General features: G+C 52.0%; 1 protein-coding gene and 1 pseudogene across 1 annotated transcript in view, besides 6 other annotated features; both read right to left on the reverse strand.

The window, feature by feature from the left end:
- Positions 1 to 9,287, reverse strand: part of SLC2A1 (solute carrier family 2 member 1) — a 33,516-nt gene that overhangs the window by 23,993 nt on the left and 236 nt on the right. The gene's annotated exons all lie outside the window — the stretch shown is intronic.
- Positions 991 to 1,526: an enhancer, noted in NCBI's record as "H3K4me1 hESC enhancer chr1:43416007-43416542 (GRCh37/hg19 assembly coordinates)". NCBI's record gives its function as "activates a minimal SCP1, AML or CMV promoter by ChIP-STARR-seq in primed H9 embryonic stem cells {active_cell/tissue: H9 hESC(primed)}" and the evidence as "EXISTENCE:reporter gene assay evidence [ECO:0000049][PMID:30033119]".
- Positions 2,918 to 3,327, reverse strand: ATP6V0CP4 (ATPase H+ transporting V0 subunit c pseudogene 4; annotated as a pseudogene).
- Positions 3,061 to 3,130: an enhancer, noted in NCBI's record as "active region_909". NCBI's record gives its function as "activates an Ori minimal core promoter by ATAC-STARR-seq in GM12878 lymphoblastoid cells {active_cell/tissue: GM12878}" and the evidence as "EXISTENCE:reporter gene assay evidence [ECO:0000049][PMID:35858748]".
- Positions 3,253 to 3,547: an enhancer, noted in NCBI's record as "tiled region #3978; K562 Activating DNase matched - State 1:Tss". NCBI's record gives its function as "activates a minimal TATA promoter and a strong SV40 promoter by Sharpr-MPRA in K562 cells {active_cell/tissue: K562}" and the evidence as "EXISTENCE:reporter gene assay evidence [ECO:0000049][PMID:27701403]".
- Positions 3,781 to 4,725: an enhancer, noted in NCBI's record as "H3K27ac-H3K4me1 hESC enhancer chr1:43418797-43419741 (GRCh37/hg19 assembly coordinates)". NCBI's record gives its function as "activates a minimal SCP1, AML or CMV promoter by ChIP-STARR-seq in naive H9 embryonic stem cells {active_cell/tissue: H9 hESC(naive)}" and the evidence as "EXISTENCE:reporter gene assay evidence [ECO:0000049][PMID:30033119]".
- Positions 6,077 to 6,366: an enhancer, noted in NCBI's record as "active region_910". NCBI's record gives its function as "activates an Ori minimal core promoter by ATAC-STARR-seq in GM12878 lymphoblastoid cells {active_cell/tissue: GM12878}" and the evidence as "EXISTENCE:reporter gene assay evidence [ECO:0000049][PMID:35858748]".
- Positions 8,644 to 9,283: a silencer, noted in NCBI's record as "silent region_772". NCBI's record gives its function as "represses an Ori minimal core promoter by ATAC-STARR-seq in GM12878 lymphoblastoid cells {active_cell/tissue: GM12878}" and the evidence as "EXISTENCE:reporter gene assay evidence [ECO:0000049][PMID:35858748]".

Below are 9,287 nucleotides of genomic sequence, written 5' to 3' on the forward strand. Positions count from 1 at the left end.
AGGTCAGAGGGCAGGTGCCCAGCCTAGCATACAAACAAAAGCCAGGGTTGGGACTAGAGTTGTTTGGTTTCCTAGCCTGGCATTCTACCCTCTGACCGGTTCCATCCTGCCAAGCCTTTTAAAAAAGAAGAGTGATGGACTAACAGTCCAAAACCTGACCTTAGGGTGACCTCAAGCATTAAGTGCTCCTGAAGCCACTTCCTTTAAGCCTTCCAATGATATCAAGACCCTTGCATGACTGAACCTCCAGACACCCCTGGTTGCCCTCGAGGCAGAAGGCACTCGCCAGTCTTCAAAGTAGAACTGAGAGGAGGGGGCTGGTGCATTTAGCAGCAGCAGCAGCAGCGAGCTGAGGCACCCTGCCAGAGGCTGCTCACACATTCTGATTAACCACCATGAACAAGCTTTTGGGGAGCGATTACTCCCTTTTCACAGATGAGAAATGAGAGAGAGGGAAAAGCGCAGAACCAGGGGACTCTAGGCTTCAGGGAAGTTTCCAATTGGGGGTCTCTGATGCCAAATTCTATGGCTTTCCTGCTTAGGTCCTCCCCCTTGTTTCCGGGTACTGGTCCCTGAAGGAAACAAGGTTTCTACCTGGTGCTTTCTATGTAGGTCAAATTCCATAAAAGCAACTCTCTGAGCCTTGCCCACTCTGAGCTGAGACAGCCCGGGCACAGGCTCAGAAACCTTTGGGCCACTTTGCTGCATTTGCTATAAGCCAAAGTTGGCAAACTATGGCAGCTAAGAATGAGTTTTACATTTTTAAGTAGCTGGGGAGAAAAAAAAGACAATGACTAATATTTTGTGATATGTAAGAATTATATTAAATTCACATTTCAGTGACCATGAATAAAGTTTTATTGGAACACAGCCACACTCATTTGTCTACAGCTGCTTTTGTACTGCAACAGCAAAGCTGAGTGGCAGGCCGAGAACTACATGTCCAACAAAGCTGACAATATTTACGCTCTATCTGGCCCTTTAGAAAAAAGTTGATCGGCCTCTGCTTTAAGCCCCACGTCCCCTGAGCTAGCTGCCCAGCATTCTCAAAGCCTTCCAGGCAAAACCACATCCTCCCTAAATAACCGAAAAGGTATGCATCCTATTATGGAATGTTAAATGTAAATGGCTCCTTGGCCATGTGTGGGTGTGGGGCCAGGATCTGGACCCTGGGGAAACTGACACCCCTGAGAAGATACACATTTGGTGGTGAGATGGGCAATAATTCAACTAAGAGAACATTAATTTGGTAAGATTGGGCACATGCAAAGTTCACTGTCACTCTCAGCAGACACATTTAAGTCCCAGCTCCTCCACTTGTGTGACCTTAAAAAAGTCCTTTCCTGGCTGGGCATGGTGGCTCACGCCTGTAATTCCAGCACTTTGGGAGGCTGAGGTGGGCGGATCACCTGAGGTCAGGAGTTCAAGACCAGCCTGACCAACATGGTGAAACCCCGTCTCTACTAAAAATACGAAAAATTAGCTGGGCGTGGGGGGCGCGCGCCTGTAATCCCAACTACTCGGGAGGCTGAGGCAGGAGAATCACTTGAACCCGGGAGGCAGAGGTTGCAGTGAGCCGAGATCGCGCCATTGCACTCCAGCTTGGGCAACAAGAGTGAAACTCCGTCTCAAAAAAAAGTCTCTTCCTCTAAGCTTCAGTTAATTCTCCATAAGAGAGGATCTTCTATGAATAAATGATATTGCTAAGGAAAGATTATGCCTGAATGCATGCTCCCAACACTCTTCTAGTCAATGGAAATTCAGCGATAAAACTATACCAAATCCCTGCCTATGGAACTTGATAGGTTAGTTGAAGGCTGGGGCAGAAAATAAATACATGTAATACATCAGGTGGTGAGTGGTATGAAGAAGGTGATGGGGCTGCTATTTCTTAATCATGGTGGGACATGCCTGTAATGAAGTATTATGCAGCTATTGGAAAGAATGAAACACATCTGTGTTTCACATAACATGTATGTGTTATGAAGAGTACCAGGGTAGATTGTTCAGGGGGGAAAAAAAGCAATAGGATGTACATATTGTGTAAGGAACAGGGAGTTAGTGAACTTGTATAGTGGCACTTGGTTGTATGTGCAGAGAGAAACACTGCCAGTATTTACCTCTAAGGGTTGGTTTGGTGAACAGAATGGGTTGCAAAGAACTATGCAGAAAGTGGGATCCAACTACACAAATATTCTATTTATAGGCATGTATCTACACATGCACAAAGAGAAGTCTTTAGGGTAAACACCAAACTGTCAAAACTAGAAGACACTCTTTCATTTATTATGCTTCTCTGTAGTTGGCTCTGTAACTTCTGAAGCTTTTTTTTAATCCAATTTTTTTTCCAGTCACATCTAAGAACTTTATTGGACACAGCTTGGATGCCAGGACCTGGTAGGCCCCACACACTGCCTGCTAGGCCCTGGACTGTCCAGGGCTGGAGTGAGGGTAGTTCATGCAAGGAAGTGTCAGACCACATGGTAACCCCACAATGCAACACTGTGGTTAGAGACTTTATATAGCTGGGAGATGGAGGGCTGCCCCACAGATGTATGAACAGGTCCAATCTTCCATAAATAAACCTACAGAAGAGAGAAAATTACACTGGAATTCATCCTTAGACGCAGAGTACCCTAGATGGGAGGGGGCATCCTCACTGGTCAGGGGGCCAGGATGGGTGATGAGGGGGCCCAGATATCCACAGCATGGGGCAGGCAGGGGCAAGGATGGGGTCAACAGATGATGGGCATTTGCACTAGGACACTGCATTCACAAGACCAACTACTGAAGGGATATGTGTCTCAGGCTGTTCATTCTGGAATAAGCAGGGGTGATCTTTATATCACATTCTGTGGCTGGTGGGCTCAAAGGCTACTTTGTGGAGAGAATGAGACCATGCAGTGAAAATGAGGATCAGGATCAAGCCCACAAATAGCCCGGGCTTCTAGGCAGCACTGTGTCCCCCACAGTGCTGATGACATAGCTGGCTGCCGGGCCACTCAGGCCCACACTCAGCCTAGCGCTTGGCTGGAGGAGATTCCCGTAGAGGCTGATGCAGTCGATCAGCGAGTTGGGGATAAGGACTTCCATCACCAGGTTGTAGATGGTGATGATGCCAGCCATGACCGCTGGGACACTGGACTTCAGGATCAGCTCCAGCCGCATAAGGGCCAGGGCCACGAGGCAGTGCTGCTCTAGGCTGTGCCACAGACAGCACACAGGGCTGTGGGATGGAGGCAAGGCGAGCCCAGAGCAGAATCTGTTTACCTGGGGCCAGAACCCTCTGGGAATAGCTTCTGCACAGCTGTGAGGGCCACACCCAAGTTATCACACGCAGCAGGGAGCTGAAGGCAGCCCCCACCTAGGGGCAGGAAGTCCTCAAGAAGAACTGCCACAGCTGGGTGATCAAGGAGCCCAGTGTAGCTGTTTGTTTCTTTCCTTGAACTGGGCCCTCCAGCCCAAGAGAGTCCACCTCTTCCTCCAGCAGAGGTGCTTATGGCTAGCTGGCCTGTCTGGGCTCCCACTGTGCTATGAAACCCAATCTGTGCTGCTCAGCACTCCCCAAGCCTGCTGCACAGACCACATGCTCCCCTGGAGCCTCAGTGCCGCTGACCCAGACAGCTAGCTCTCATCCCCAGTACAGCTGAGGACACAAGCTCCAACAAGAAGTGTGGCTGGCCTAAGGTCCAATGGTAGAGCTGTTTCTGATGGAGCCGTTTCCTCCCCACTCCCAAATGCCAGGGCAGGGGGAGATAAACTGGGCTAGGAGACATAGGCAGACTTCCTGTCCAGCAGAGGCCTCAGTAGCCAAAGGCTCCATCAGCTGAGGCCTGGCAAGAGCTCTCTCCCATTCCAGGGTGCAGAAGCCTCAGGGAGGCAAGTCAGTGTGGTCACAAAGAGAGGAGATGCTGTCTTCTTTCTGCCCAGGTTCAAGGCCTGGGAGCCCTGCTCAGTTACTGCAAAACCCTAATGTTTATGCATCAGCTACTGCCAGGCCTGGTGGCTGGAAGACAGAGCCTCAGGCTCCAGTCCACCCCTCCCGTGGAGAGAGGTAACAATTGGAGGCTTGTTAGGGTAGCCAGGGCTGGGCCTGCAGGCCTGGACACAGCCTCTCTGAGCCCATGAATCTGGTCAGGAGGCCTCCCAGCCTCCGCCATCATGGGGACGTCGGTTACCAGACTGCAGACTGAGTGAGCGGCTTTATCACCTTTATGCCCAGGAGTGAGGTGGGGGAAGGGGTGAGGTTGCAGGCCCCAAGCCAACACTGCACACTTTCCTCTTTGTTCCAGGCCTCCCCAGCTTTGCCAGTCTTGGGGAAGCAGGGAGCTGGATGGCTGTACCCTTGGTACTTGAGCAGAGCTCTGGGCCGACACCCCGTGACCAGGAGGCACTGGGCAAAGCTGAGCTCCTTGAAGTCACAAGCTGATTACGGGGGATTTGAGGCTGGCCCAGCTCCGGGGCAAATAGGGTCGAATCCCTGGATGGCTCGGTACTAGACAAGGATCATCTTGGGGCTGTTTACATCATTTGTACACCCAGACTGGCCTTACAAAGGGTCTTTCCACTTAAAATAGCCACTTCTCTAATTTAGGGCACGGGGCCAGTCTCACCACATCCACTGGGGGTAGCCAAGTCTCTATTTACTGAGAAGGAAACCAAGGCTCCAAGGAAAGCCACTTCTTCAAGGTCAGAGTTTAGTGGGAACATCTAGTGTTTTGTTTCCATTCACAGTAGAGTTTCAGTTGTCAAGTTACGTCTAATCCAACTTTCAGGCTCCTATGGCATGGCAAGTCCTGTGTCTGGGGATTCCTGCTCATTTGGGGTGGGTGGAGGATGGCACAGACAGGCATGTGGAGAAGAAAGCATCTTTAAAAAAAAAACACAGCTAGGCCAGGCGCGGTGGCTCACACCTGTAATCCCAGCACTTTGGGAGGCCGAGGTGGGCGGATCACCTGAGGTCTGGAGTTCGAGACCAGCTTGACCAACATGAAGAAACCCCATCTCTACTAAAAAAAAATACAAAAAAATTAGCCGGGCATGGTGGCACATGCCTGTAATCCCAGCTACTCGGGAGGCTGAGGCAGGAGAACCACTAGAACCTGGGAGGCGAAGGTTGTGGTGAGCTGAGATTGTGTCATGGCACTCCAGCCTGGGCAACAAGAGCGAAACTCCGTCTCAAAAATCAAAACAAAACACAGCTCCATAGAACGCCTCAAATCTTTTGTGATAGCCTTATCTCGGACAAATCTCTTCCCTTCTCTGGACTCAATTTCCCCATTTGTCAAATGGAGGGCTGGGCCATGGCTGGAAGGCCCCTCCTGCTCTGGGTTCCTTCCACCCTCTAATGTCATCCTGGAAAGGCTGGCAGCATGTCTTGGGGTGGGAGGCTCAGTGTGTGATCTTGGCAAAGTCATTTTTTATTGGACCATGAGGTCACTGTAACTTGTATCACAGGGCAGTTGTGAGGACCCTTGGAGTTAATGGACATGAATGTCCCTTTCAAACTATCCCAAGGGTGACCCAAATTCAGAAAGGTAGGCAGGAAGCCTAAGGCAAAAAAGCAAAGCAAAGAAGCCCAAAGCAGCGCAGGGCACTCACATGAGCTGACCCTCCCTGGCCTGGCACTCTCACCCATGTGCCATGCCTACTCACTTCCCAACAAGCCCCTACTAGGAAGAATGGGTTAGTGGGAGCTTTAATGATTTACCTGACTTAATACCCATGGGCCAGCATCCTGACTCCCCAAAAGCTCATACTGCCAGAATGCCAGCTTTTGGATAAAGGCCAAGGCCCAGGTACAAGTCACCCACAGCCCAGGTAAGGCATCATGGGAGTCCAAGGAAGCAAGAAATATTTATGGAGCATCTATGGGGACAGAGACGTACATTCTTTTCTGAATTCCTAGACACTGTAATGATGAAAACTGGGCAACTAAGCTAAGCTGGGATTCAAAACCACATATGCAAACATCTATGTTTGGCCGGGTGCGGTAGCTCACGCCTGTAATCCCAACACTTTGGGAGGCTGAAGTGGGCGGATCACCTGAGCTCAAGAGTTCGAGACCAGCCTGGGCAACATGGCGAAACCCTGTCTCTACCAAAAATACAAAAATTTAGCTGGGCACGGTGACGCATGTCTGTGGTTCCAGCTACTCAAGAGGCTGAGGTGACAGAATCGCTTGAGCCTGGGAGGTAGAGGTTGCAGTAAGCCAAGATACTTGCCTGGGTGACAGAGTGAGACCTCGTCTCAAAAAAAGACAAAAAACAAAAAACTATGCTGTCTGCACCACAAAGGGGCTGAGAAAGCCTGCAGATTTCTGATTTTTCCTTTTCTGGAAGGTAGAGACTGGCCAGAAAAGTGATGAGTGATGGGCATAGGCAAGGCTAGTTACAAGTTCTTCACGAAGGGTGGGGTGAGACATCTGGGGCAGGGCTCACCCTTGCGTGCTGCCCAGGAGAGATCGTGGGCGAACCCCTGGCTTGTAGGCAAGGTGATTCCATCTGTCCCCTACTTCCTATTCAGCTAAGCTCATTACTGTGAGTTACAGAGGAGCACAATGGAACACGGGGAAGTTAGTTAAGTCAGTTCCCATTTCCTAGGAGACAAAGAGGAACATAGCAGAACCAAGGCTTTGGAGCCAGACACACCTGGTTTTCAGATCTTGTGTGAAAGGCAAGCGATATGACCTCCCCAGGCCTCTAACATCATGCACAAAAAGGCTGTGCTTGCAGGTCAAATCAGCAGTCTCCAAAGGGAAGGGCTTTATTCCAGAATGTATATGGAATGATCTACACAAGATTTGGAGGGGAAAATGACTATAACTGCTGTCTTGTATCTATCTGTCTTTTGAAATTTCTATTTTATGAAGGCATATCATCTGTTAGTATCAAACTGCATGTGCATGAATTTAAAAATACAGCCGGGCGTGGTGGCTCACGCCTGTAATCCCAGGCCTGTAATCCCAGCACTTTGGGAGGCCGAGGCGGGCAGATCATCTGAGGTCGGGAGTTCGAGACCAGCCTGACCAACATGGAGAAACCCCGTCTCTACTAAAACTACAAAAAAAAAAAAAAAAAAAAAAAAAACATTAGCTGGGTGTGGTGGCACATGCCTGTAATTCCAGCTACTCGGGAGGCTGAGGCAGAAGAAACGCTTGAACCCGGGAGGCAGAGGTTGCAGGGAGTTGAGATCGCGCCATTGCACTCCAGCCTGGGCAACAAAAGCGAAACTCCGTCTCAAAAAATAAATAAATAAAAATAAAAAAATAAAAATACAGATACACCACTGTGAAAGAGGTGTTCCAACATTAATTACTGACGAGGTAGACAGTGGAAAACTTGGAGAACACTCCATGAAGAGCACCCACCTGCTACACTATTTAGAACCAGCTGGCACAAGGGGCCACCTTTGAAGATAGGCAAACTCTCTCCCTTCTGCCCAAAATTCAAGAAATGTTGTGGTGAAGAGAGACAGTGGAGACAGAAATGAAATTAAATCTGATGGGCCTGGGTTCAAATCCAGTTCAACCACTTACTAGCTGTGTGACTTTGGCAAACTTATTTCCCTTCTCTGAGCTCCAGGCTAGTGAGTAACCAGCAGGGCTATAAGGTCCGTGACGCTTAAAGTAGTTTGGCTAAGAACCTGCTGATTTTCTCCTCCACTTTTCTGTCTCCACGTAGTATTCCCTTATCCACTCAACAAATAAATACCCATGTCTGGCATAGTATGCTGAATAGATAGTTCCTTCCCTAGAGGAAGTGACAAAAGTGATCTCTTTCAGATGGAAAAACTGAGGCCCAGAAGTTAAGTGGCCTGCAAGAGCCCTGAGATATTTGGACTTCCTTGCCACTAGCTAGAAGAGCTTCTCACTGAACTTTTGTTTAGTTATATCCCACCCTTACGGCTCACCTAAGATCCTGGGAGCCTTCCCCGGGAACTTCCCCGGGGTCTCACCTCAAGCGAGGGCCCAGGAAGGGTGAACCAAGTCGTCTGGATTTATGGATTCAACAGGTGTGGGGCGGAAGGCCTTTTCCTGCCGAGGGTGCGGCCCAGCGCCACCCCGCTCAGTCTCAGCGGGACACCTCCACAGCCAGTAGGAAGGGCAGTTCAAAATTCAGTGCTACCCCCGCGTCCCAGCTAAGAAAACAAGGGCCATCCAGGTGCCCTCCCAGCTGACGAGATGGAAAAATCAAAGTATAATAGATAAAGAGGGACCGTTTCAAAAGAAAAAGGGGACTTGAAAATATTGTAGACTAGGGGGAGGAAAGGAGGTGGAAAGAAACAATGCCCTACACACAGGAGGGGCTCCACAAACAATTTGTTGAAAAGAAATCGCTCTGCGGACGCTACAAAGATGCCCTGCAGGACAAGCCCACTTACACAGAAAAAAAGAAATCCTATCTAGGGAGTTGTTGGTCCCCAGAGTCCCCATCCCTCATTCCCCAACCCCGTGGCGTGCGCGCTTCCCGCTAGACTTCAGCCTGGGGCTCTTTCCTGGCCCCCAGATCCCCCGCCCCTCCGGTTGCGCTCCCCGCCTGGCCCCGAGGGTAAACCTGCCTCCGCGGAACACATCTCCGCGAGACTGGGCCAAAGCTTTGGGGCCTGCACTCCTCGCAAAGGAGAGCCTCCGAGACCGGAGGTTCATCTCAACCCCCGCGTTCGAGCCCGGGCCTGGAGAAAAGTGCCCTCCCCTCGGCCTCGGCCTCGTCACCGCGGGGGACTGGCGGGAGGAGTAGGGGAGGCCGGTGGGACACCTCGCACCAGGCCGCCCACCTACAGGGGCGTCCGGGCTAGGGGAGCAGACGGAGAGCGGGGGCGGCTCCTGACTCCTCCGCGCGCCGGGGCCGGGGCCGGGCCGGGGGCTCGGCCCGCTCAGCCAATGGGCGCCGCGCTCGGGCCCCCTCCCCCGCACCGGGAGGGGCCGAGGCTGGGCTGCTGCTGCCGAGGTCGTGTGCGACGTGCCGCTCCCGGGCCCTGTGTCCCCAGCCCCAGCAGGGCCGCGTGGACGGCGCGGCGCCCCCGGAAGGAGGCCATGTGCTCAGTGCCGGCGCCAACTACGCACGCGGCGCCCTCCGGCCCGCTAGATCCGAAGCCCATCCCCACTGCGGCCAGCGGCCCGGCGGGGCGCTGCGCTCGGGACCCGCACCGAGCCAGGCTCGGAGAGGCGCGCGGCCCGCCCCGGGCGCACAGCGCAGCGGGGCGGCGGGGGAGGCCCTGGCCGGCGTAAGGCGGGCAGGAGTCTGCGCCTTTGTTCCTGGCGGGAGGGCCCGCGGGCGCGCGACTCA

The sequence above is a fragment of the Homo sapiens genome, chromosome 1 (genome assembly GCF_000001405.40).
Source record: "Homo sapiens chromosome 1, GRCh38.p14 Primary Assembly".
NCBI lineage: Eukaryota > Metazoa > Chordata > Mammalia > Primates > Hominidae > Homo > Homo sapiens.